General features: G+C 38.8%; 2 protein-coding genes across 6 annotated transcripts in view, besides 8 other annotated features; both read right to left on the reverse strand.

Annotated features, from left to right (window-relative positions):
- Positions 1 to 27,698, reverse strand: part of NR3C1 (nuclear receptor subfamily 3 group C member 1) — a 157,582-nt gene that overhangs the window by 126,651 nt on the left and 3,233 nt on the right. The window contains exon 1 of one of the 5 annotated variants that reach the window (NM_001364180.2): positions 569 to 774. The exons of the other annotated variants lie outside the window; for them this stretch is intronic. The gene's annotated coding sequence lies outside the window, so the exon portion shown is untranslated. Of the gene's footprint in view, positions 1 to 568; positions 775 to 27,698 lie in introns of those variants that run through there. 5 annotated transcript variants of the gene reach the window in all.
- Positions 6 to 773: an enhancer, noted in NCBI's record as "H3K27ac-H3K4me1 hESC enhancer chr5:142784152-142784919 (GRCh37/hg19 assembly coordinates)". NCBI's record gives its function as "activates a minimal SCP1, AML or CMV promoter by ChIP-STARR-seq in primed H9 embryonic stem cells {active_cell/tissue: H9 hESC(primed)}" and the evidence as "EXISTENCE:reporter gene assay evidence [ECO:0000049][PMID:30033119]".
- Positions 51 to 120: an enhancer, noted in NCBI's record as "active region_23343". NCBI's record gives its function as "activates an Ori minimal core promoter by ATAC-STARR-seq in GM12878 lymphoblastoid cells {active_cell/tissue: GM12878}" and the evidence as "EXISTENCE:reporter gene assay evidence [ECO:0000049][PMID:35858748]".
- Positions 85 to 3,980, reverse strand: LOC128966704 (uncharacterized). The gene is made up of 2 exons (XM_054328421.1): positions 753 to 3,980; positions 85 to 335 (listed from the first exon to the last, which is right to left on the reverse strand). The coding sequence occupies exons 1-2, from the start codon at positions 1,058 to 1,060 to the stop codon at positions 305 to 307; spliced, it is 339 nt and encodes a 112-aa protein (XP_054184396.1). The 5' UTR covers positions 1,061 to 3,980; the 3' UTR covers positions 85 to 304.
- Positions 161 to 300: an enhancer, noted in NCBI's record as "active region_23344". NCBI's record gives its function as "activates an Ori minimal core promoter by ATAC-STARR-seq in GM12878 lymphoblastoid cells {active_cell/tissue: GM12878}" and the evidence as "EXISTENCE:reporter gene assay evidence [ECO:0000049][PMID:35858748]".
- Positions 701 to 940: an enhancer, noted in NCBI's record as "active region_23345". NCBI's record gives its function as "activates an Ori minimal core promoter by ATAC-STARR-seq in GM12878 lymphoblastoid cells {active_cell/tissue: GM12878}" and the evidence as "EXISTENCE:reporter gene assay evidence [ECO:0000049][PMID:35858748]".
- Positions 701 to 1,540: a biological region, named in NCBI's record as "H3K27ac-H3K4me1 hESC enhancer GRCh37_chr5:142784920-142785686".
- Positions 774 to 1,540: an enhancer, noted in NCBI's record as "H3K27ac-H3K4me1 hESC enhancer chr5:142784920-142785686 (GRCh37/hg19 assembly coordinates)". NCBI's record gives its function as "activates a minimal SCP1, AML or CMV promoter by ChIP-STARR-seq in primed H9 embryonic stem cells {active_cell/tissue: H9 hESC(primed)}" and the evidence as "EXISTENCE:reporter gene assay evidence [ECO:0000049][PMID:30033119]".
- Positions 1,261 to 1,310: an enhancer, noted in NCBI's record as "active region_23346". NCBI's record gives its function as "activates an Ori minimal core promoter by ATAC-STARR-seq in GM12878 lymphoblastoid cells {active_cell/tissue: GM12878}" and the evidence as "EXISTENCE:reporter gene assay evidence [ECO:0000049][PMID:35858748]".
- Positions 22,468 to 22,537: an enhancer, noted in NCBI's record as "active region_23347". NCBI's record gives its function as "activates an Ori minimal core promoter by ATAC-STARR-seq in GM12878 lymphoblastoid cells {active_cell/tissue: GM12878}" and the evidence as "EXISTENCE:reporter gene assay evidence [ECO:0000049][PMID:35858748]".

The following is a 27,698-nucleotide window of genomic DNA, read 5'->3' on the forward strand; positions in this document are numbered from 1 at the left end:
AAGTTCAACCCCCACCCCTCCCGCCCAATGTGCTCACACTCGAAGGAAGTTGCACGCCAAATGCAAAACCTCCAGCGAGCTGGATTTCTTTGCACTTTTTTTTTATTATTATGATTAAGGAAAGCAGGGGGCGGCAGGCTTAAAAGCAAGTTGCAGGCGAAATAGTAAGTTGCTGGCGAAATATAGCCCCCCTTCCGAAACTCCTGACCTCTTCTTCCACCCCGGCCAGGGCCCGCGTCCAAGTTCCCGGTGCAGGCCCCACCCCCGAATCTTGACATTTGCTGCCCTCGACTCTGTGCGTTGCTCACCCTATCACGTTCATAGGACCCCTGCCCCTACAAATAAAACAAAATACAGGCAGCTTTAAAATGCCAGCGTTCAACTCCCTACAGATGTTCCTGTTAGGAGCTTCCCCCTCAGTCCAAGGGGAAGGGAACTCGTGGTCCGTCCTGAGAAAGGAGAGGGCCGTGGGGCGAGGGGTGCCCGTGCGGGAAGCCCCCGCCCCAGCTCCCTTCCCCAGCTCGCCGCGTCGGGAAGGCTTGGACGATGCCGGGACCGAGCCTCCTACCTTGTGCGGCACAGATTATGATTTTTGTGACTCTGGGAAAGGTTGTGCTGTGTGGGTTTAGGGTTTGGGGAGGTAACTTTTGCGCCCCCACAGGTGACATCGCTTGCCAGCTCCTGACACGGGCGGGGGCTGCCGCAGCTCCACCTAATCCTGCTCGGGCGCTCGGCCACAGCCACTCTCTCACCTCCCGCCGCGCTCAGACTGACGGCGGCTCCCCCTGCTCTGACATCTTGAAGACGATTGGGGAAGCGCGTCCCGGAAGCCGCCCGCCGCCATCTTGGTAGGGTACAGTGTCGCCAGCCCGTCCCCGCGGCCACCATCTTGGCAAAGGTTCGCGATCGCGGGTAGCCTAAGCCGTCCTTCCTTGGTTCTCAAGGGTAAACGGTTCCCTGTGCATTGTCTGATGTGAAAGGAAAGAAGTAGGCTTTCAGCAAGCCTCTTGTCCGGAGACGATCTACGGGGGCCGCCTCCAGAGGATTCTGGAGCCGCCATCTTGGCAAAGGAAGAGATACTCGCCACCTCGGAAAAGAAGAGGGAACCAACCGTATGCCAACGTAGAACCCTCAGCCAGAAGAATTTTTATGAAGGGCGCTGAGCAACTCCATGTTAACAAAACCCCCTTCTGGACCCAGAAGGCAGACTCCGCTTCTCCTGTCCCTTGGCACAAGTCAACTAGAAGGAGGCCCTTGCTTTGGATGCTCATCTGTGAGGCTATGAGAACACTGCTTGACCTAGTTGCCCGTTTTTCCAATTTCTGAGCCTCAAGCACTAGAATGAGATGTCTTTCGTTAATTTGGCCCCTAAACTACCAACAGTTTCATGGGAAACAAATCAAGACCCAACCCTACAATAATGTTTTACACGTTTTAAAAGTGAGTTAAATAGCCCATGCTAATAATTATCCTTGTACACTGCTTAAAATGATTAAGAATTCTATTTATATATACATGTATGTATACATATGTATACACATATATATTATATACATATATATGTATATAATTAAGGGGACAATACAGTTGTCTAATAGAACACATCTCCCCATGCCATTAGCCTGTCTCACTGCTGAATCTCTGCTCTAAGAATCCACCTCATCGCTCATACATGCTCAAATCCTTAGTGGTAGGTACTCTGCTTAAATAATTTATGATTTCACAAGAGTTCCCAATTATTCTCCCTTCATTTTTTTTTCTCTGCAGATCTTAATGGGGAAGAATACGTAGTTTTAAATATGCCATTGAAAACGTTTTTAATTGAGCAAAAAAAAAAAAAAACTTATCCTAATTTCTCTCTTCAGCAATCTAAATGTGCCTGTTAATTTTTTAATTTGATAGCAAAAAAATTCTCATTCTTTAGTCTTTCACATTCATTTGGAAGCATGCATGAACTATAAGTTAACCCCTCTTTTTCAGAGTAATACAAATAGTTATGATTTGTGGCTAACATTTATTGATCCCCACTCTTCTGCTGCCCACTTTTGCTGACAACAATTAAATGAGATAGGTATTGTTATTCGATTTTTCAATATGAGGACAACAGGCTTACAGAGGTTGATGCTTGTCTAAGTTCACATGGCTCCTATGCATTAAGAGAGGAATTAGACAATATTAAAGTGGTTTTCCTCACTGATCTCAATCATTAACATGAAGTAGTATATCAATTCTGATAGACTACTTACAATATGTGCTTACGGAATTTAATTGAAGAGATGAACTCCAGTGTGCCAGAAAGGACGTGAGATTTAGCATTATAATAATAACACAATTCTAACGAAAGTCAACATTTATTGCGCATCTGCTGTCTGACAGACACTATTGAAAGTGTTTTATGCACAGTATCCTAAGTCTTTAGGTATGGCATTTACTAATCTGTAACCCTGGGAACTTATAATTACTACAAGAAATAGGATGAATCCCTATCTGAGTGGGAAGGTATTTGATTGTCTTAGAAGCAGAGGTGGAAATGAAGGTGATGTATTCAGACTCAGTCAAGGCAAGGACCTGATCTATCTTGTCATAGCTTTATGTCCCACTCCTGGAACACAGCCCACTACATAGCAGGCACCCAACAAATACATTACAGGGTTATAATAACATTGAGTCAACTAGTTAACTAGATGTAAAATCACTTTTACTGGGTTATTGTTGTGGCCAAATGGGTTAATAAAAAGTGTACAGATAACCCTCAAGATCCTCATTTTTATTGTTTTGTGTTTAAACATCTGAGTGCTCCCCCCACTTTTTTTTAAAATAAACTAGATTAGATTCTTGATTGTATGTTCTTATAGTATTCTGCATACTTTGTTAGCACATTACAATGATAGTTCATTATTTGTGCCCTCATTTGTTATTTCTCTGTATCACCCACCAGAACATAAGTTCTGCAAAGGCAGGGACTGTGTCTGTTTGTTCACCCCTGTATCACTAGTGCATAGTTGGTGCTCAGTGGGTGTTGGTTAAATGAATGAATGAAGATAATATATGGTCTTAGAGACTATGTCCTAAGGCCAATAAAACCTTAAGCCTGACTAATAACCAAACCACTTGATACATTGATTTCAGAAACTGATATATTACCCAAGTGAGTTCTCCCATTCTCTTCATGTTTTGTCATCTCCATTCCCACTAAAATAATCCAAGCTGTACTGCCAGATTACCCCTCCAAAACATCAACTAAATCAGGCTGTGCTCCTTCTCAAGTATATACAATAACTCTTGATTCTAGTGCTACACAGATCCCAACTCCCAGTATGGTATTTAAGATCATCACCTTTACCTACCCCTTTGTAGAAAGTGAAGCCTTCTAGTGGATGTGATTGAACTGGAGTTTAATTTAAAAATTAGTTAAAAGAAGGAAATAATTTTAAGAAAGATAACTTGCAAACTTTAAACTTTTGAAACTTTTGAAACCTAAAACCTGTGATTGAACATTTATTTTCTAATCTTTTGATGAAGGTCTAAAGCTTTTATGAGCCCACTGACTGGAGTTCCATGTCTTCTTTAGTGTGTGTATAAACTATACCTGTAATGCATTGATATAGTGTAGCAGTTAAAAGCCAGACTATAAAGGCCAAATACAGTCTCCACCACTAAAAGGAATGTAACCTTGGGCAGGCTAACTCTCTGTGCCTTTTTCCATCATCTGTAAAATGGGGATAATAATAGTACTGATTTATAAAGATTAAACCAGTTTGATATATGTGAAGTGCTTAGACGAATTCCTGGGTCATAGGAAGTATTTGCTCATCATTAGCAATTATTATTCATCTGTAGAATTACTATTTTCCCCCTTTTTTTTAAACAAAGTAGAACAAGAAATTAAAGATACACATTCAGTATCCATGACCTGAAATGCTTAATACTGAAAGTGTTTTAGATTTTGGATTTTTTTTTTTCTGATTTTGGAATATTTGCATTATAATGAGATATCTCGGCCATGGGACCCAAGTCTAAATAGGAAATTCATTTTTTGTTTCATATACACCTTATAGCCTGAAGATAATTTTATACAATATTTAAAATAATTTGGGGCATGAAGCAAAGTTTGTGGTAAGTACTTCCATGTAGGATTTTTCATTTGTGGTATCATAACAATGCTCAAAAAGTTTTGGATTTTGGAGCACTTCAAAATTCAGATTTTCAAGTTAGGGATGTTCAATGTGTACTTTTAGAATAATTTTCGTGCAGATTTCTAAATTTTTATGATTCCTCACTCCTGCCCCCACACCAGTCTTTTAAAATTGTCTTACATCCACCTTACTTGACGCAACTGTAAGTCAAGGAAGGCTATAGGGCATCTTTCCATTTAGATTTTATAGAACAATTTTTTACACTCATTTCATCATTTTACTTAATATTTAATCAAATTAAGTAAGTACAGTAATAAGCAACAAATGGCATAAACATGTTTGGGAAGCAAAAGCACCAGGAACTGTTGGTAGCTCAACTGGTGGGAGCAGAATCGTGTGAAGTGCAGAAGTGACCATGGTTCCAGTGTTCAGCGCACCCTGGGCATCAATCCATTGTTTTCCAGGGAGACTGGAGAACTGGATCAGTTGAGATCGATATTGAGTAGTGTCTGTTACACGATTCTGTTAAAGAAAGGACATAAGACACCACATTCATTCCCATGTCTCCTGTTGTTTATCACATATATTTCCTCTTACATAAGCATACTTCTTTGTGACTTATTTTCCTATAGTCCGTGATTCTTTGTCATGGCTTCAGTTTCCATTTATTCTTTTTTTCTGTACTCTCTCACTTTAAATGTGTGATGTTAAATATAAATGGGAACCATGTATACGTGTATTGTGTACATGTGTATTGTGTATTTTGAACATGTTAAGCCCACACAAACAGCTTTTATTGGTGGTTAGAACTTACTTTAAAAAATTATTCCTGCAGCTATCATAGCTATTATTTGTCTCTTTAAAATAATATCTTGACTTTGGAAAATACTTCTATTCCTATTTAACTTTATAAGGTAAGAGGTTCAAGGGAACCCAGCTGAGCTTTGAATGAGCCATCTCTGTCTGCTTCAATATTTGTATTTTATGCCAGACATGCCTATTATAAACAATTCACACTAGTACAGCAAGTTCTTAATCATAATGAACTCCACTTTGGTATTCCTCGTTGTAATTAGAATTAACATTCCCGCCTGGACTGGGAAATGCTAAATTATTACTAGCTTTCCTGCTGTTTTGCTGTCTTTCATGATGCTTTCAATGATTTCATCATAAGCAACCTAAAATATCACAATTTGTGCTCATATGCGTGAAATGCCCAATGGGTGTCCTGGTTGACTTTATTCTTTATGCTGGCAGAACTTAGTTTAAGCAATACCTGATTCAAGGATGAGGCAGCTATCAGCAGATAAATGAGATAAATGTTGCCATAAGCAGGAACTCAATGTTTTTAATGTTTGGAGGCATTAGAGCAAGCACACTGAATAATTGCAACAAGTATTACGTACTTTGTTTTTTCATTTGTGGCATTTGTGGCTCCTCATATGTCATTAGCTTTCTTCCTTTCTTGATTTAATCTCCTTTTCTCTCCCATGTTCCTTTGGTAAAGAGTGTTTCAATCTGCCCCGCTGCTATGTGGAATCTTTCAGCTCATTTGAGAACCTGCATTTCCATTTTGGTTCTTATATCTTCTTATTAGAGCACACAGGGTTTTGTTTTGTTTTTAAGCTAACTTAGAAATAGTGGGGTTGAGATGAAAACATTCTTGGTATAGGGATCCCTTAACAAGATAAGAAGATACTTCATATCAAACTCCAAAGTGCTACAAAGGACATTTGTCACCATTGAAAAAAAAATTGTTTTGAGATCAGTATTTGTCAATTAAATTTTCTCTATCCTCTTGTTGAATTTTCAATACAAGACCTGGTTTTTAGACCCTATTCTGCCATTTACTTACTTGAATGAGCCTGGGGTAGGCATTTGATTTTTCTCAGCCTTGTTTTTCAATCTGTAAAGGAAGGATAATGATATCTACCCCACCTATCACACAGGAAGTAATGTAGGCCTTACATGGGATCATGTGTTCAAACGTTTTTAAACACTAAGCTTTATTTGGAAAACTTAGAGGAGCTTATGGAATTTTTGCACTATCACTTCACCACAACAAAAATGAAAATTATCATTGTCTCTTTTCACTTATTTCCCAGGGAATCAGTGCAATGGGCAGTCTGGAATTTTAGGCAGGGGAGTGATAATTCAGTAGTGCACCGGAAACAATTGTACCAGCTTGCAAGCACTGACTGTTAAATTTTCAGAGATTTTGTAAGTTGGTTGTTAATCACAGTCATTATTAAAAACCAAATTATTTATAAACTCACAATCAAATATTTTAACAACAAAAATAAATGCTGAAGACTTTACTGCCTAATTATTTTACTCCATTTTACTATTATCTATGTTCTTAAAGTTATTTCTGTCTGTTCTGTATAAGAACATACCATACGATGGTATGATGCAGCGTATCCCTTCCTAACGCTGCATTCAGAAATGTTATTTTGGTAGTTTGAAATCAACCATGGTGGAGTACCTATACTATAGAAATTGGGAAACATGACAAACCAGAGCTTGATTTGTTTTGTTGATTGTCTAGACTGACAGAGTAGAAGAAATTTTAATAATGAAGATTGAACTTAAAAGTGCCTTAGTTTGTGAACACAAAAACTTGAGGAAATATTTTTCTAGTACTTGAAAGCTATTATCAGCAAAAGAAGTCACTTCTGTCATTAATGAACGAGTTTAGTTCCAACATCCATTTTTGTTGCTTCACTTTTATCTCGCTCATTAATGTAAAAATATCAACCAACATTCATGTTGGGACTTCAGTACCATGAATGACTTCTTTGCTGATTGGATATTAATCAGATATTTATTTGTGGTCTGATTTTGCCAAACGTGTTTGAATTTTAGCTGTAGGTTGGCTATGGACACAAATATTCTGCAAAAATCACTGAAATGGTTCTGTGAAAATCACATGGCCATATAGAATTTACTATTAAGAGTGTTATATTTTTTCTTGCTTTTTGTAAATTATGTGATACATATATGTAAAAATTATAAAACACATAGATACTCTGTTCCCCTCAGGAGCTGTTAAACATTTACTAACACACTAATGGACATAATCTAATTTACTATTTGAAAAGCTCGTTCTGCTTGCGATGTGGAGTATGAGTTGTAGGGGCTAAGGGAGAAAGCAGGGAGAGCAGTGAGGAGACAGGCACATTGGCCCAAGGAAAGATGACGAAGTTTGTATTGGTTGCAATGGCAGGGGAGCTGGGGAGCTATGGTTGGACAGGAGAGGTATTTTGAAGGCCAAAGGTAAGCAAAGCAGTCATCCAGCAGCTCTATGAAAGAGATGGACTTCCAGGAACTTTTTATGCTAAGAGAAGACCTTCTGGTGAAGAGTAAGCAGGCTTAGTTGAATGGGGTGAGTGCATAGAAAGCTGTGCCAGAGAAAAGGAGTCAGGGAGGGTTGTAGTAGGAAGTAGGAGATGTTGGCAGTTCTAGGATTTCAAGGTAAATATCTTTATATCAGATGGAGAAAGTTAGGCTGGATTGTTAGTCAAATGTCGAATTGCCTCAAAGTGCAGGGGGGGAGGGGGGAGGGGAAGCCCCAAATACCAGTAACATGTTGCAACTGGAACTCACATACTAAGCTACTCATCTAGTAATTTCATTGATTTTTGCCCACATGGAGGGGTTATTTGTTCATCTCCATGCCTTGAGCCTATCCCAATTTATAGTAGATTTTTTTTTCTCACATTTGGCAATTTTAATTATAAAACTCTCACACTGAATCACCCTGTGTTACACATATATTGCTGTCCCCTTTCATGCTTCTCACTTCTTCATTCCTATTTTTCTTTGCTATGCCATAAAGAAGGACCCTACCAAAAGCCACCCTATTGTCTTGCCTATTAGTTATCAGAAAACTTCTGGCAACCACAGTTTTCCCCACTTTCCCTGCTTCCTCCATTATAACCTACAATCTATATTCCACATTACAGGTTTTTTTGTTTGGGTTTTAACATTTTTCAAGAGAAGTTATTACATTTTATGGAGTTTAAAAAATAGTAAATGTTTTGCAAAAGAAAGAATCATGTCTCCACATTCACCCACCCTTTCAACCCTAATGACCAGAAGAAGGAAAGATTCTCAGCTATACAGCTACCAATGACTAACACTTTGAGGATTCAGTTTGGATATGTTGTTTACTTTGGTCTTCTGATGATTAGCTATTTTAGGCATGGTTTCAATCAATCAGGGAATGTTTATTAATAGAAGAGACTTTCTTAATTAATATTCTCTCCATTCATTCCTTCAACAAAAGAGAATTCCTTCAACAAAATACAATTCCTTCAACAAAATAGCAACTATTATATGTTAGGCCCCAGTATAAGGCTGCAGGGATATCAAAATGATAACAATCTCTTCTCTGGAGGAAATGGAGACAGATACGGTTACAAGTCATTATAGAACAATGCAGACTTACAGAAATGTGTTAGATGCATAGGGCACTTCATAAGCTTCAAGAAGTCATCTGGTGTTTAAGGTTAGGAAAATGGGTGTGGATATGGAGATGGTGGTCACGGAGGGTTTCCTAGAGGTTAGCAGGACTGACTTGAATTATGAAGGGTTTTCTTCAAGTTATTTGTTTTTTTTTTCTCTTGAAGATAATACTTCTAATGGAAGCTTGTAGACAACATTCATTAGGTCATTTTTTGGTGCATTTATAAGAAACCCCACTGTTAAAAACAGAGTTTTTTGATTCACTGAAAAGTCCAGGGGAAGTTTAATTTCAGGAGGCATGACTGGATTCAGGGGCTCAAATGAAGTCCAAAGGGCTTAAATTTTATCCCTTAGCTTCATTTTCCTGTTTTGTTTTGTTTTGTTTTCTGGAAAGATTATCTCCACCTCTCCACCTGGTGGCCTGTGGCACCTGGATTTAACACATCCTGCCAGGTTAGTAACTTCAGTGGAAAGAGTTCTTTTCCCATAATTTTAGTAGTTGTTCCTGGGAGGGGTTTCACTGGTCTAGTTGGTTCAAATGCTTATCCCTGGACCAATAACTATGACCAAGGGATGTCAGGAATGTGTACTATGATGGGCAAAGCCTAGCTCAAGTGCCCACCACTGACACCTAAGAATGGGGTACAAATGAAAGAGAGAGAAGAGGAGGTGCTTCTCCAAATAATTGGAGATTTTAAATTTAAATAGGAGAAAAGGGATTTCTGGGCATGCAGAAAAAAACCCAGATGTCCATGACAATAGCTTTTTATCAAAATATTAACAGTGACATAAACATCATATTTTACATTTTAAGAGAATAGACATGACTTAAAATGTTTGTCAGCAATGGAAAGAACCCTGAAAATTAAGTATAGTTGTTACAAGTTTTATTGGTTTCACTTCCTGCCTTTAATAGAATGTGGGTTTGTACTTTGAAATTTCAAATGTTACACAAATGAATTGATGATTGCTTTGCAGAAATAGTATCTCCACTTAATTGGGCCTTTTTTGGGTGATGAAGTGATGTTTACAACTTTTAAGCTAGTTTTATCGTCTTCCACTGAAGGAGTTTGTCTCACTTGAATATGATTCCAACAATATGATGGGTATAGGCGGCTGCAGTGAGCCTCTGTCTGCTTATTTTGCTCCTTCTGTCTTGACAAGCTGAATGTCACGCAAATGTCTCAAGCCTCTGCACTGGGCAGGCAGGAAGCCAGAACCAGTAATAGAAGCAGTAGGCACTCTGTGAATACTTGCTGATTAATTTTAGCTCCATAGGCCTGATGGGTTTTCCATCCCTATAATTACCATCAGCAAATAGTTATTGAATGATGTCCAGCATATTTTTATTTCCCTTTTCTTGATCCTGATTTTCATTTTCTATTTTACCTCTCTGTGATTTTATCACGTGTGTTTCTGTTCATCAGACTAACAGAGCCTCCTGTGATTAGTTTATAATCACTCAGTTTTATTTCTACCTATGAGATATCTTTATCTGTCTGTCTAAATTTGTCTTTGTTATGACCCAGTTCAAGTTCTTTCTGGAATTAGGGAAAGGATGAAGTGTGAAAAAAAAGGAATTAAATAGTTCGGTTATTGAATGGCTATTTTGTGCTTGATGCTATATTAGTACATTTCCACATTTGCTTTACAAGTTAGTCTTTCTTATTAGAAGTAATGCTTAACAAGCCTACAAGTACTGACTGGGCTCACTTTATAGAGAAAATGGAGAGCAGTGAAGGGTGAGGAGGTTATGAGTTATGGATATGACAAATGGGGAAAGATCTTACAGAAGAGAGATTGGGGCCATCCAAGAAAAATCGTTATCTTTGTGTAGACGGCATTAGAAGGATGAAAAATAACTTTAGATATTACTTATGCCTTTAAGAAAAAAACTTCAAAAGATGCTAGAAAATAACACATACTTATTGTAAAAATCCAAACATACAGAAGGTAGAAATGTATAAAGGTAAAAACTTCCTCACACAATCCCATTTTGCAGATGTAACTATTTTTTTCTTTTTATATTTTGATGGCAACAAATTTGTAATTATTTTTGAGTTTTTATGTATATTCCAGATCCCCCACCCCATTATTCCCCTCTTTAAAAACTTTTATTATGTGAAATAGAAAGTAGAATTGTGACTATCAGAGGCTGGGAAGGGCAGGGGGAAGGGGAGGATGGGGAGAGATTAGTTAACGATTACAAAATTACAGCTAGATAAGAGGAATGAGTTCTGATGTTCTGCAGTACCATAAGGTAAATGTGATTAACTATAATTTATTGTATATTTTCAAATCCTTTTTGTCTATACATGGATGCATGCATGCATATATGTTTTTTAAAAACAAAAATGAGATTTTACTACATGTATTTTTCAACCTTTATTCATCAAATGTTATTGGACATCTTTTCATCTTTTCAATATTTTCAGGTAATAGTAGCATAGTATACCATTGTTTTAACCTTTCCTTATTGAAGTATATGTAAATTGTTTTCAATTTTTCACTATTGCAAGCCATGCTGCAATGAATATTTTTGTATCTAGATCTTTCTGCTATTGTACAATTATTATAGAATTGAAATTTCTCAGGCAAATGTGATTTGCAACAATTATCAAGCACCCAAAAGTGCTACATTATTGGGCTCATTTTAAAAATGCTTGTCCACTACAGCTCATTTTCTACTTTCATCTTCCTTTAGACATTCTAGAAAAAATCAATTAGAGCAGTAGTCATGGATGGCTATGCAGGACAGGCTACTAGCTGGAGACCCCTCATGTTTTGCTATTGATACAGTTTTGCTGAATCCATCCTTATGTTAAATGCATTAACAATTTAAGAGGATTGGTTTACATATGAACTGGGAAGGGATTATTCAGGGATACCATAATGCTTGATGGCTGCCTCCATCCTACCAGGGACCCTGATCTGCCCTGTTGTGGCCACATGGTAGATAGGTACTGTTTTACTTGCCAAGTATCCCCTCTCCACATATGATACTAGGACCTAACATTTCCTTTGGAAAACTATCCTTTCCCTAACTTTGGTCCATGCGCTTATGGTGGTATTAACCCATCTGTAACTCTGCATGGGCCAGGTCTGGTAATATCAGAGATAGGCACATGACAGGGACAGATACACCTTAATTCTTGGCTTTCTGGGACTACTTGGAAACTTGTCTTGTTTCTCAACAGGAATAGCTAAGCTGATACGATGCAAGCTTGGAGCAGCTGTGGTCTACCACTTAGAGACTCCATTGGATTGAGGTTTGCAAAAAAAAAAAGCAAAGAGATCTGGAAATAGATTCCCAATTATATAATATGAATGTCTAGATCCTAAGGTGAGGGCTGCTCCTAGACTTGACTATTACACACTTCAATACATTATTCCCCCTCCTTCTCTTCCTCCTCCTTCCTCTTCAGCCAGCTGGAGTTAGCTAACACTTGCATCAGAAAGGGTCCTGACATCAGAAGTAAAGGTCTAAAACATGGGGGTGTTGCTCCTTCTGGAAGAGACAGGGAGGTTAAGGTTACCAGACATGGAGGATGACCCCAAAAGAAAAGGGGAGCCCAAAAGAGAAGCCAGTTGAATGTCTAAAAATAAACTTTACCTGCTTCACAAGTTTGGCTCGAGTTTCCTTTTAATGATTAACTAGATGAGATGGTCAAACTCCTTCTTTATTTAAAATACACAAACATAAATAAGAATATCAGTCTTCAGTTAATTCACCTATTCTGGTTACATCTGCCTCAGGTTTCTATTTTTTTTATTAATACATAAATTGCTTTTCTATTTTAGGCTGTGTTTAAAAAGAGAGAGAGAGAGAAACCTGGTAATCCTCTAAGAAATGTCTTACGTAGTTTTTCTTTAGGGCCTAAATTATTACTCTACTTTCCATATTGATCCAGCCTTTTGTTTTATTGTTTTGTTTATAGTAGATTTGGTAATATATTAACAGTACCTATAAATATGATCTAGTGGAATTATGTATTAAAATATTTTAATATCTTCTTAGCATTTGCGATCTTGAAACTGAAACTTGATAGCTGAAGAAAAAGTTCCATTAAGATGAAAAATCAATCCCTTAGTGGAATTAAATCCACAATGCTTATATAAAACATTGCTTCTGTCTTATTTACATAAACTTTATACTTCTCTCTCTCATCAGTGGCAGGGGAATATGGAGTGGGATGTCATTAGTTGGATTCAATAGACATTTATTTACTTATTAGGAGCTTGAAATAGACTTGAGACTCTACCTCCTAGTAGACACATGTCTTTAGCAAGTTACTTAACTTTTCTGAATGTTAGTTTCCTTATCTGAAAAGTAAGGTTAATAATATTATCTGCCTCAGGAGGTTCTTATACAGATTAAAAAAGATATTCTCTGTAAAGCATTTAGCATGGTCTCTGACATTTAATTAATGCATGGTAAAGTAACTTATTATTACGCTTTCAGAAAGTGAGATAGCCCTGTAGGCACACCCCAAGCAGAAAGTACACGCCCATACACAATACACTAACTTCCTTCAAACGAAGCCCCTTTTCTCCTTACATCATGGATTGTGAAGGGAGCACCTGTCCAATAAAAGAAAGATTCTGTAAAAGAAATCCAGGCACTGGCTGGAAATTTTCACTATATGATTTATCAGGCCTCTCCCAGCTTTGAGGTCCTATAATTCTATAAACCACACAAGTTTACATATCACTGTGGGATTTGATCCTTATGAAACCCAAGAGAACCATAGGTTTTCCACATCCAGCTGAGCATGCTCAAATAAAGACAGACATTTAAAAGCATAGACATTGATCACGTGCTCTTTAACCAGCAAAATACTACAGCCAAAAGAAACAGAAGCACAGAGAAATAAAATGATTTGTTTGAAGTCTCATTGATTTGCCAAGAAACCAGACTGAATGTGCAAGCTTTCCTAATTCCTAGTTGGGTTCTCCACACACTAAACATAGTGATATATAATCTTCAGTTGTCAATATTTACCTTTTATGAGTTTATTGCTTGTCATGTGTTAACTCATAAAGCCATTTATTTACTTATATCAGTGCCATCAAAAACCCTTTAATTTCACAATCACAGTTTGTGTAACGTAGCAGACAAAGCACTGGGCTGGGACAAGGGACTGGGTTTTGGTTTTGGCTTTGTCCCCCTTTCTTCCTGCCCTCAACTGCATGATTTGGGCAAGTTACTTTTCCCCTTTTGGACTGTTTGCCTTTTTCTGCTTAAGTATCTGGACTTTCCCTTCCCTTCTTTCTCAACCCACACAGAAGTAATTATGTTTCTTTCATTATCTCTAACTGCAAAGTTTTTACTAGACAGCCCATATTTACTGGTCATCTGCTGAATGCCTCTGTGCAGTGAGCTGGAGATAGAGGTAAATAAGGTATGGCCCCTGCCCTCAGGGCTTTCCCAGTTAAGAGGGCACAGGGTGTGAAGGGGCACAGGTCAGAAGGTGAAGGCAGGGGTCAGGGAAGGCTCCTGGAGGAGGCAGAATGAGACTTAAAGGGTAAACAGTTGGTGCTGGGTGGCAGGCAGGTAGACATAAGCTCCAGTGATGACACAGATTATGCTGAAAGGAAGAATAGTGTTAACAGAACTGGCTTGGACGAGGGCAGAACTAGAAAGAATCCAGACTCTGACACTCCAAGTTGTGTGACCTTGACCTAGTTACCTCTGTTTCCTCATCTACTAAGTAGGCATAATGATCGGGTTTCCTCTTAAGGCTGTTGTCACAATTCAATGAGATTACATTTGCTAATTTTAGTGCAGTATTTGGCATTACTATAGGTCAAATATCCCTAATCCCAAATTCTGAAATCGGAAATGCTCCAAAATCCAAAGCTTTTTGAGTGCTATCATGATGCTCAAAGGAAATGCTCATTGGAACATTTCAGATTTTGGATTTTTGGATTAGGGATGCTCTACCTGTATGTATTCTGCAAATATTTCAAAATCTGAAAATATCTGAAATCCAAAACCCTTCCTGTCGGAAGCATTTTGGATAAGGGATATTCAATCTATATTACTACCAATTTATTTTCACCAACAACATGCTGTTATACCTGTTCTCTTGTCCCCTCTTTCTCTTCCAAGGACACGGGCATATTCATACCCTGCTATCAAATATATTTTGTTTATAAATATTTTCAGTAACACACTGAAATACTTATTTGAAGCACTATGATAAAAGAAATGTGGCATTCCATGCAATACTTTGGGGAGTATCGGGGAACCTGCCCCGATAGTCACATAGGTTCTTTTCTATTTTCCCTAAGCGTCAGCCAGTTTGAGAAATAAAGGGACAGAGTTCAAAAGAGAGAAATTTTAAAGCTGGGCGTCTGGGGGAGACATCACATGTTGGTAGGTTCCGTGATGCCCCACAAGCCGCAAAACCAGCAAGTTTTTATTAGGGACTTTCAAAAGGGGAGGGAATGTACGAATAGGTGTGGGTCACAGAGATCACGCGCTTCACAAGGTAATAGAATATCACAAGGCAAATGGAGGCAGGGCGAAATCACAGGACCACAGGACGGGGGCGAAATTAAAATTGCTAACAAAGTTTTGGGCACCATTGTCTTTGATAACATCTTATCAGGAGACAGGGTTTGAGAGCAACTGGTCTGACCAAAATATATTAGGCAGGAATTTCCTCTTCCTAATAAGCCTGGGAGCGCTATGGGAGACTGGGGTTTATTTCATCCCTACAGTTTCAACCATAGAAGACAGCCACACCCAAGGGGGCCATTTCAGAGACCCACCCTCAGGGGCATATTCTCTTTCTCAGGGATGTTCCTTGCTGAGAAAAAGAATTCAGCAATATTTCTCCCATTTGCTTTTGAAAGAAGAGAAATATGGCTCTGTTCCCCCTGGCTCACCGGCGGTCAGAGTTTAAGGTTATCTCTCTTATTACCTGAACAATTGCTGTTATCCTGTTCTTTTTTCAAGGTGCCCAGATTTCATATTGTTCAAACACACATGCTCTACAATTTGTGCAGTTAACACAATTATCACAGGGTCCTGAGGCAACATACATCCTCCTCAGTTTAGGAGATGACAGGATTAAGAGATTAAAGTAAAGACAGGTATAGGAAATCACAAGGGTATTGATTGGGGAAGTGATAAGTGTCCATGAAATCTTCACAATTTGTGTTTAGAGATTGCAGTGAAGACAGGCATAGGAAATTATAGAAGTATTAATTTGGGGAACTAATAAATGTCCATGAAATCTTCACAATCCACGTTCTTCTGCCATGGCTTCAGCTGGTCCCTCCGTTTGGGGTCCCTGACTTCCCGCAACAGGGGAGATCATAGACATGCTATTAATTATAATGGTTTTCCCTAGAACACTAGTTTTCAACTGGGTGATTTTGGCCCTAGGGGATATTTGGAAATTCCTGGAGACATTTTTGGTTGTCACAGATGGAAAGGGAGAATCTTATTGGCATCTAGTGGGTAGAAGCCAGGGATCCTGCTAAACATCCTGCAATGCATAGCACAGCCCCCCACAACAAAGAATTACCCGGCCCAAAATGTCAATAGTGCCGAGGCTGAGAAACCCTGCCCTAGATGTAACCCAGTCACTGCTTCTTTTCAACAATCATTGGGAAACACGGTAAAACCATGTTTCTTAAGATCCTAAATTCAGCTGCAAAAGTGTATCCTTTGGATATTTTACACATTTTAACATCTCCTTTGAAAACAAAGTCCTTCAGAGAACCTGGTGGAATCATTCCAACTTTTTTTGCTACAAAGATAATGGAAATTATTTTATTTTATCATTTTTCTCCTATATGTATAATTCAGGACAAATTCTTCTTTTTTTATGTGGTAATTTTAATGAAATTCACCAAAAAAGATACTTGATTAACCCTAGTTTGGGAGTCTTTTCCAGAGCAGAGAAAATTCTGGAAACTTGCAACAGTGTGGGCTTTTCTCCACCATCACGGGGGATACAAATGGCTAGCTACCAATGATGGCTCCTGTAGCCTCTGGAGGAGAGTGCTAAGTGTCACCTTTGAGTTCCCATAGTCTTCCTAACACTCCTGCCAAAGTGGGGCCAACAACAGGGGGCTCAGAAGGGCTTGCATGTTTTTACTATCCTTCATCCCTTATTTTCTTTCTTCTAGAAGCAACATAGTGATTAAGAGTGTGGGCTCCGGGTTTGAATCTGGTTCTGCTGCTTGTTAGCTACAGTGACCTTGATAAACTCCTTAACCTCTGTGTGCTTCAGAGTCCTTCCCTGTAAAATGGGGGGAAACAATAGTACCTACCTCACAGGATTGTTATGAGGACTAAGTGAGTTCTCATGGGTAGAGCACTTAAAACATAGCCTGGCACATGGGTGTGGAGGCTCACACCTGTAATCCCAGCACTTTGTGAGGCTGAGGTGGGCACATCACTTGAGGTCTGGAATTGAAGATCAGCCTGGCCAACATAGCAAAACCCCATCTCTACTAAACGTGCCTGTAATTTCAGCCACTTGGGAGGCTGAGGCAGGAGAATCACTTGACCCCAGGAGGCAGAAGTTGCAGTGAGCCAAGCTCACACCACTGCACTCCAGCCTGGGTGACAGAGTGAGACTCTATCTCAAAAAAAAAAGGACATAGCCTGGCACATAATAAGCAGCAAATAAATGTGAGTTGTTTCTCTTACTTTTTATTCTTACTTGCTTTTGTGGACACACTGAAGTAGGCTTTAGGTATGATATGGACGTGGTGGAAGTTACATGTCATTGCAGAGTATGGAACACAGTCACAGCCAGGGCCAGCTGGGGCCAAGGTAGGGAGTGGCTGAAGTGGTGTTCACTGCTTCATCAGGTCTGCCTCTTTTTTAGCCTAGCAATATCTTGTGTTTTCCCTTCTCCATGATCTTTACTAATACCCAGTTTTCTCTTACTTTCCCTGGCTTTTCCTCCCAAGTATGACATCTCACCAAGCTCTCCCCATCTTTACCTTCCATAGAGTTTTATTTGGCTATTTCTTGAAGCATTGATTTTCATCTGAGTTGCCCATCAGATCATTTGGGAATTTGTTTAAAGTATAGATATCTGGGCTCTGCCTCCCAACGATCATCCCAAGTATCTTGATTTTAGTGTTTATTTGAGAGACAGTATGGCATAGTATTTAAGAACATGACCAAAGAGCCAGGCTGCCTAGGCTACGGGTTCGTTGTATGACCTTGAGAAAATTATTTAACTCTCTGTTTCTCACTGTTCTTATCTGTAAAATGGGGGTGCTATGTTCTGAATGTCTGTGTCCTTTCCAAATTCCTGTTGAAATCCTAACCCCATGGTGATGGCATTAGGAGGTGGAACCTTTGGGAGGTGATTTGGTCATGAGGGCAGAGCCCTCATGAATGGGATTAGTGCCCATATAAAAGAGGCCTCAGGGAGCTTCTTTACCCCTTCCCACCATGTGAGGACAAAGCAAGAAGAGAAGATGGCTGTCCATTTGTAAACCAGGAAGCAGGTCCTCACCAGATAACAGTTCTGTCAGTGCCTTGATCATGGACTTCCCAGTCACTAGAACTAAGAGAAATAAATTTCTATTGTTTATAACCCACGCAGTCTATGGGATTCTGTTATAGCATCCTGAACAAACTGAAAGTAAGAGTGCTTATCTCATAAGGTTGTAAGAATAAATGAGATGCCCCTTAAAACAGTGCCTGGAATGACTTTTGTCTTTCTTGTTCATTTTCCCTTCTCTCTTACTTTCTCACCTGGCCTTTCTTTCTTCATTACTTTCTTCTCTCCCTCCAACACATATATATTGTTTTATTCTAGTGGTTTCATACTTGCAGGCCTTCGATTTAGGTTTTTAATCCAATTTGATTTGATTTTTGTATATGGCAAGAGATGACATTGGTCTGGCCAAATATTTTTTGAATAAGACATCAAAAGCACAGTCAACCAGTGCAAAAGTGGACAAATGAGATCACCTCAAGCTAAAAGGCTTCTGCACAGCAAAGGAAACCATCAACAAAGTGAAGAGACAACTCACAGAATGGAATAAAATATCTGGAAGCTACCTATCTGATAAGGGATTAATAAACAGAATATATAAGTTGTGTAAACAACTCAATAGGAAAAAATAATTTGATTTAAAAATGGTCAAAAGATCTGAATAGATGACATACGAATGGCCAAAAATACTCAACATCCTTAATCATCAGAGAAATATAAGTCTAAACTACAATGAGATATCATCTCATCCCAGTGAAAATTGCTTCTATCAAAAAGACAGGGAATTACGGATGCTCTCAAAAGTGTGGAGAAAGGGGAACCCTCATACACTGTTGGTGGGAACGTAAATTAGTACAGCCACTATGGAGAACAGTATGAAGGTTCCTAAAAACAACAACAACAACAAAATAGAGCTACCATATTACCCAGCAATCCCACTGCTGGACATATACCCAAAAGAAAGAAAATCAGTATATCGAAGAGATATCTGCACTCCCATGTTTACCGCAGCACTATTCACAATAGCCAAGGTATGGAATCAACCTAAGTGTCCACCAACAGATGAATAAAGAAAATGTTGTACATATACACAATGAAATGTTATTCAGCCATAAAAAAGAATGAAATTATGTCTCTTTCATCAACATGGATGGAACTGGAGGACATTATGCAAGAGAAATAAGCCAGGCACAGAAAGACAAATATCACATTTCTTGCTCATATGTGGGAACTCAGAGAGAGAAAGAATAGAATGATGGTTACTAGGGTCTGGGAAGGGTAGTGGGGAGGGGGGATAAAGAGGGGGTGTTTAACCGCATATTCTCACTCGTAGGTGGGAATTGAACAATGAGAACACATGGACACAGGAAGGGGAACATCACACTCTGGGGACTGTTGTGGGGTGTGGGGAGGGGGGAGGGATAGCATTGGGAGATATACCTAATGCTAGATGACGAGTTAATGGGTGCAGCGCACCACCATGGCACATGTATACATATGTAACTAACCTGCACATTGTGCACATGTACCCTAAAACTTATAGTATAATAATAATAAATAAAATAAAAAATAAAAAAGAGGGGTGTTTAATGGATACGAAAATGCAGTCAGATATGAGGAATAAGATCTAGTGTTCAGTAGACAACAGGGTGACTACAGTTAACAAAAATTTATTGTATATTTCAAAATAACTAAGAGTGGAATTGCAATGCTTCTAACACAAATACATTACAAATGCTTGAGGTGACGGATATCCCAGTTACCCTGATTTGATCATTATATGGTGTATGCTTGTATCAAAATGTCACATGTACCCTTTACATATCTGTAACTCTTATGTATCCATAATAATTAAAAATAAAAACTTTTTAAAAGAAAAAAAACCCCTATATACTTATGGTCTTAAGCATGGCTTTGGGACCCAGCAATGAATTAGATGTAATTCTAGCCTTATATGGCATTATAGTCTAATTAGTGGAAAATAGACACATAAACAAATAAAGATATGTATGTGTACAATGTATGAATGAGAGAGTTACTGATTTTCTTAGAAAAGAGAAGGGAGAGATGAAAGGCTCCAAAGGGGAAATGAACATGGCATTGAGTGTTAGAATAGAGATGAAATCAATCCATTCCATGCAACAAACATTTTCAAAAGCACCTACTACATACCAAGCACAGGTCTCAGTGCCTTTCTGAAATTGTCCTCCTTTAGAGAGTGGCAGCTTCATTTTTAACTTGATGTTTTAAAAAAATACTTAACTCAAAATAGCAAAACAATCTATAAAAAAAGGCAAAGTTCGAGGACTCACAAAACGTACTACTACTTACATACTACAAAGCTGCAGTAATCAAGACAGTGTAGTACTGGCATGAGGATAGGCATTCAGATCAGTCGGGTAGAATTGAGAGTCCAGAAACCCATATGCCTACAGTCAACTGATTTTTTACAAGAATACCAAGACCATTCAATGAGGAAAGAATCACCTATTCAACAAATAGCATTGGGACAACTGGATAGCTACATGCAAAAGAATATTTAAAAAATTAACTCAAAATGGATTAAAAACTTAAATGTAAAAGCTAAAATTATAAAACTTAGAAGAAAGCATGTATGTACATCAGAATCTCGGATTAGTCAATGGTTTGTTAGTTACAATACCAAAAGCACAAGAAAAAAATAGTCAAACTGGACTTCATCACAATGAAAAACTATTCTGCTTCAAAAGACGTTGTGAAGAAAATAAAAAGACAACCCACAGAATGGTTGAAATTGTAGACAACGTACAGAAATGGTAGAATTTGCAAGTCATATATCCAGTAAAGGTCTAGATCTAGAATATATAAAGAACTTTTATATTTCAACAATAAAAAGACAACCAACATTTCAAAAAAAGGCAAATGACCTGATAGTTCTCTAAAGAAGATGTGCAACTAGCCAATAAGCACATAAAAGATGCACAATATCATTATTCATTACAGAAATGCAAATTGAAAATACAGGAGATATCACTTCATACCCACTAGGACAGCAATAATTGTTTTTTAAAAAAAGGAAAATAAATGTTGGTGAAGATGTGGAGAAAGTGGAACTCTCATACATTGCCAGCGAAATTATAAAATGGTTCAGACACTGTGGAAAACATATTGGCAGTTTTCTCAAAAAGGTAAACATAGAGTTACTATATGACCCAGCAATTCAACTCCTAGGAATTTACCCAGGAGAAATAACATGTCTGCCCAAAAACTTGTACATGAACGTTCATAACAACATTATTCATAATAGCTAATAAGTGGCAACAGCCTAAGTGATCAGCTCATGAGTGGATAAACAAATATGGTAGATTCAGAGGACAAAATGTTATTCAGCCATAACAGGAAATGAAGTGTGGATCGATGCATGCTATAACATGGAGAAACCTTTAATACAGTATGTTGAGTGGAAGGTGCCAGACACAAAAGACTACATATTGTGTGATTCCATTTATATGCAATGTTCATGGTAGGCAAATCCATAGAGACAGAGAAATAATTAATTAGTGGTCGCCAGGGGGCTAGGGAAAAGGGAATTGGGAGTGACTACTAATAGAACCAGAGTTTATTGTTGGTGTGATGGATATGCTTTGAAATTTGATAGCGGGGATGGTTGTACAAAATTAAGAACATACTCAAACTCACTGAATTGTACTTTTTAAAATGGTAAAGTTTATGTCATGTGAATTACATGTCAATAGTCATAACAAAAATTATTAACCAACATATGCTCCCTATTTTCTTTGGAATGTTGATACATTGATACAAATCAGCTAAAATAATAAAGCACGAGTTATGCCATTAATATTCGTTTTACAAAAACACGTGTTTTGCATTCTAGTCGAAAAGTTAAAGTTTATTCAGATTATGATCAGGAGTAGGCAGAGGCCAAGGGAAGGCCAAGCTTAAAGGACTTAGTTGTCAAGACTCCTTTGACTAATTTTTAAACTCCCACATGATAATTCATCTGCTCAGCAAAGCTTCGCTTTGAAAAAACAATTTTTATTAAAACGTTACGGTACAAAAATTAGTGGGTCAAATCCTGTCTCATAGGTACAAATTAGTCATTTTGAAATATGTACGAATTCTTGTGATGCACAGAACAGCTGTTTGGCTGATGCTGACCTGTGAGGCTCTGATGTGCTACTGCAGCCTTTCAGTGTGTCTCCTGGTGAAGAGGGCACCAACAGTATCTGCTCCCTTTTTCTTAAATGTGCTTTTACGAAGTTTATCCCTTGGGAGGACCACCCATGTGAGTGGATGTCAGATTTGCTCATAAGTCCATAAATCATACAGACTTAACCTTGTTTATTAAAGCAGGTCTTTTTCTTCATTTCTGTTCCTTTTGAAGAGTTCAAAAGCTAAAACACTAGCCCCAATGAACTCCCCATCACATCTTAGCAAGCCTAATATTTCTAATTCTAGAGGAAGAACCCCAGTCTGCACTATAAGTAAGAAATAGCATTTTCATTATTTTGTGTGACAAACTGTGTTCTTACTGACCATTTCACTCCAGATATAGCTTAGTATTTTTTTTTCATAGAGATTTCAGGAAACGATAGCATAGTTTTTTAATAGTGAAAATATAAATACAGATTCTGAAGCAGTCTGTGGTCTTAGTATGTGGGAATGATTAGTCATATTGGGGACTGCCCTGATAGTAGGGTGGGCTGGGGGAATTACCCTGAGAGGTTAATTATGAAATTCATATAAAATGGATGAAAAGTCACCTTAATGGATAGAATGACAAATAAGGCAAGAAGAAGAGGGGAAAGATAGTTGGCAAAACAAACCTCAGCAGTGCCTCTTCCAGCACCATCTAGGAAATTATAGGATTTGGGAATTCCCATCCTAGTGGGAAGGCCGTAGCCAGTGTTGTAAACAAACATGGAGGACCTGCTAGCAATACCGTTCTTCTGCAAGATGGCTGCATCAGGCCCCATTAACCTGATAACATTAAAATCAGATTTTTCTGCCTTCTTTTCCCCCATGGATTCAATGTCCACTAGCAACCTTCTGAACATGTCTCCTATGAGACACTATGTTGTAGTGGCTAGGTATCCACACTCTGGTTTACACTGTGTGGGTTCAAATCTCATCTCTACCACTCACTAGCATTGTGATCTTATAAGTTTAGAACCTCTGACTTTATCTATAAGAGGGTTTTAACCACAATTCCTACCGATAGACTTGTGAGGTCATCATGGAAAATGCTTGACACTGTGCCTGGCACAATGTTATTGTTAATAAATGCTAACCATTATGGTCATTGTTATTCTAATATAAGTATGTCTATGAAAATAGAATGGGCTTCTCACATGTGGCAATTATGTTTTTCATTAAAAATTACTAAAATGGGCTTTTTGACTTAATATGTTAATCACCTGAACTTAGTGTAAGTCTTATAGGACTTACAAGAAAAGAGGACTTACAGGCGAATAGATTCAGGTTTCTGATCCTGCCAAGCCAAGGTCATGGCAAATCCACCAAGGCCACAAAAATGCCATCTTGTGAAGCCCCTTGGGGTCTGCCTCCTGGTCTTTCCCTGAAAATGCCATCTCATTCAGGAGCTTGCTTTCAATTTCCTTAAGAGGAGATTCTACAGAGGAAGTAACAAAATGGGATCAATGGTTCACATGGTGAGTGAATGTTGAAATACTGATCTGCTGAGGACTGAGCTTCTGTAATTCAGGTCATACCCTTTTCTAAAACCCTTCAAAGGCTTCCCTTCTGCTTTTAGGATAAAATCCAAACTTTGTGCTAGAGTTCCACAAGGTCTTTCCTCCCTGACTCCTTCTGCCTTTCCAACCACGTTCTACAATTCTCTCTTGCCTTACCATGCTCTAGTTCAGGGGCTGGCAAACTATAGGAAAGTTTGGTAACATTTTATTGGAACACAGCACATCCCTTTGTTTAAGTATTGCCTATGGCTGCTTTCACACTGCAATGGCAGGCTTGGGTGGTTGAGACAGACACATATGGCTCCACTGTAATTGTATGGTAACATTTAACTGTACAGGACTTGGGAAGTTAGGTCTAGCTGTGAGTCCAAGAAAAGGAAATGATTTTGTTCATCAGCCAACAATTTTTGCTATAAAAGCAAAGCAATGTGAGTGGGGGCCCTAAAAATCCCCACTGTTTTCGCCATTCTGACTACCACCCACTCCCCACCAAAGGTCCCTGGGGCACACCCTGCAGACCTTATTACTTTAGGGCACACATTTTGAAAAGGGCTGACTTTGCTAATTTGACTTGGCATTTTGATTAAAGTTACTTTCATATTTTGATTAAAGTTATAACTGCATGATACAGGCATACTCTTATCACCAGTGCTTTAAGAACATGAAACGGGAAGCTGATGACTTCTAAACCATTTCACATTGAGTCTAAATTCACTGCTTAATAATAAATAACAATGATAATAATAGTAACAGATGTGTACCACTCACATATACCACCATCTTATCTCATCCTCACTTATGGTAAGTGCTTCTGTTATTCATTTTATAGATGAGGAAACTAAGGAGAAGAGAAGTTAAGTAACTTGCCCAGGTTACACAATAGGAAGTAATGAATAATGGATCCAGGATTTAAAGCCAGTAGTCTGACCACTGAGCACAATTAATTAATTTTAACTACAAAATCTCACCATATGGTTAAATGAATACCTCATTCTTGTGTAGTAGTTTACAGTTACAAATTGGTGAGTATCTTCATTTTCCATATTAGAAACAAAGGCATGAAAATGTTAAGAGATTTGGCAAGGTTATGTAGCCATTTTTCAGGCAAAAGAATATTAGGAACTTGGTCTTTGGATTCTCCCGCTCACAAACAAAATCTAAACTTGAACTGTATGCAACTATCTCTGCTATGGCAGTCATGCACCTAGAACCTGGTGGGCACTAAATCAGAATAAACTATCTGGATGGCATTTTAGCTACAACATATCCAAAATAAAAAGAGCCAAATATTTATAAAGAAAATGAGAGGCAATGTAACAACAATAAAAGTTGGAAATGACCTTAATATTAACTAGTAGAAGAATGGTTAAATTAATTATATTGCATCCATAAGATGATGCCATCAAAAATCATGGTTTTTGGTCTGGTGCGGTGGCTTATGCCTGTAATTCCAGCACTTTGGGAGGCCGAGGTGGGCAGATCACCTGAGGTCAGGAGTTCAAGACCAGCCTGGCCAACATGGTGAAACCCCATCTCTACTAAAAATACAAAAAAATTAGATGGGCATGGTGGCAGGGGCCTGTAATCCCTGTTACTCGGGAGGCTGAGGCAGGAGAATTGCTTGAGCCTGGGAGGTGGAGGTTGCAGTAAGCCAAGATTGCACCACTGCACTCCAGCCTGGGTGAGAGAGTGAGACTCCATCTCCAAAAAAAAAAAAGAAAAGAAAAGAAAAAGAAAAAGAACAAAAAATCATGGTTTTCTAATAATATGGGGGAATGCTCACAATAAAAATAATAAGCATATATGTTTGTGTATATATAAAAATACATATACACACATACATATTAACTTTATTTTAAAATATCTTTATGAATTTCATGCTTTTATATTAGATTATGTTTTCAAACTCTATTAATGTGTACTGAATAACTTCACAGGAATTGTATTAAAATATTTACCATGGATATCTCTGGATGTGAGATGATGGTAGATTTTCTTCTACATATTTTTCTGTACTTTTTTACTTTCTCCAGTGAAGATATATTACTTTTATGAGTAGGAAAGTTTCACGGTACGTGTTGTTATATAGACTGAATGTTTGTGTCTCCCCAAAATTCATACGTTGAAATCCTAACCCCCAATATGATGGTATTAGGAGGTAGGGCCTTTGTAAGTAATTAGGTCATGAAGGTGGAGCCCTATGAATGGGATTAGTGCCCTTATGAAAGAGTCTCGGAAGAGCTCTCTCACCCTTTCAGCCTCTTGAGGACAGTGAGAAGACAGCGGGCTATGAACTAGGATGCAGGCCTTTACCAGACACTGGATCTGTCAGTGCCTTGATCTTGGACTTCACAGCCTCCAGACTGTGAGAAATAAATGTTTGTTGTTTAAGCCACCAAATCTATGGTATTTTTACTGTAGCATCCTGAGCACACTAAGACACATGTTATTTTAAGGAAAGATGCTAATACCCTGCCCTTCACAGCCTGCCTCCTCAGCAAGTTCCCACCGTGTTTAGGGGTGTTGAGCCTTCACTGCAACCACTAAAAACACAGTCCCACATTATAAGTAATTCTGCTTAGGAACTTCCAGTTGACCATCAGTACCAAATAAACGTATCTTGAATTCAGTCATCTATATAAATGTTGTTTATGTAGAGATGTGGGAGGAGAGAGGAGAAGGTTATGATCTCTTTGTGGTTTCATGGGATGTACTGTTTGGTCCCTTTCTGGGGCCACAGGGGTACAGGTTCAGACATGGTTTAGGATACCAGGGTTCCGGGACTGGGTAAGAAATGTGGCTCAGGAGCTTCTGGGGAGAGAGATGGGCCACACCCTTCCCCAGTGCATTCATTTTTCAATAGGGCTTAGGAACTTTCAGAGAAAGGACTGAAATCCTGCCCACCAATGCACTGCAAACCTATGTCTGAGAAAGTAGGGTGTTCCCAGATGGAGAACAGATTATAGAGAAGAACAAGTGCTTCCACTGAAGAACTAAACTGGCACTACAATTCCAATAAGAAAAATTGGTGTTATGCATGTTCTCACTCATAAGTGGGAGTTGAACAATGAGAACATGTGGACACAGGGAGGGGAACATCACATACCCGGGCCTGTCAGGGGGTGGGGGGTAAGGGGAGGGAGAGCATCAGGACAAATACCTAATGCATGCGAGGCTTAAAACCTAGGTGGTGGGTTGATAGGTGCAGCAAGCCACCATGGCACATGCATACCTGTGTAACAAACCGGCACGTTCTGCACATGTATCCCAGAACTTAAAGTAAAATAAAATAAAATAAAATAGAAAAAGAAAAGTTGGTGTTAGCAGAGAGTGGGGGTTATAGGTAGTTTCCCAGCTGACATCAAAACTTGCCTGTACACAGCCACCCTAGGGGCACTTTTGTAGCCTTGGAGAAAGGTGCAGTGGGTTGATTTGGAAGAATAATAACTCTGTAAAAGGTAGTAACACTATGGTTTAATCAGCTTTGCAGTGGGGCCCCTGGATGAGTGGACTATAACAATTACTACAGCAATTACATCCTCTGGCTTTGAATGACATTTATATGGGTTTGGGAACAGAGATGACTCTCCCTGAGGGGGTGGTGGTAGCTGCAAAGCTGACAGGAGCGGAGTTTCAACCTTGGTGGGGGTGGAGGAGCAGAATATGTGTACGACTATCAGGGTTGGTGGTAAAAACTGCCTTGCTTGGCTCAGCATGTCTCCAGTGAGGAAGCCCTGTCATGAGCCACTAGAATACCTGGGACTGGGTGCATCTACAGTGCCAGCCTAGCTGAATGTAGCACCAAGTGTGTTCATCTCACTTTGCTGAGTGGGAGGTGACACTGGACCAGTGATCTGGATCGCTGAATTATACATTTAAAATATGTAATGCGCTAGGTTAAA

This window comes from Homo sapiens, chromosome 5 (assembly GCF_000001405.40).
Source record: "Homo sapiens chromosome 5, GRCh38.p14 Primary Assembly".
NCBI classification, from domain to species: domain Eukaryota; kingdom Metazoa; phylum Chordata; class Mammalia; order Primates; family Hominidae; genus Homo; species Homo sapiens.

Bases quoted from the DNA above. Each gene is read 5' to 3' on its own strand.
- LOC128966704 (XM_054328421.1), bottom strand. From the start codon at position 1,060: ATGGCGGCTCCAGAATCCTCTGGAGGCGGCCCCCGTAGATCGTCTCCG. The intron at 336-752 runs GTGAGAGAGTGG...TTTTATTTGTAG, and splicing joins CAGTCTGAGCGCGGCGGGAG to GGGCAGGGGTCCTATGAACG.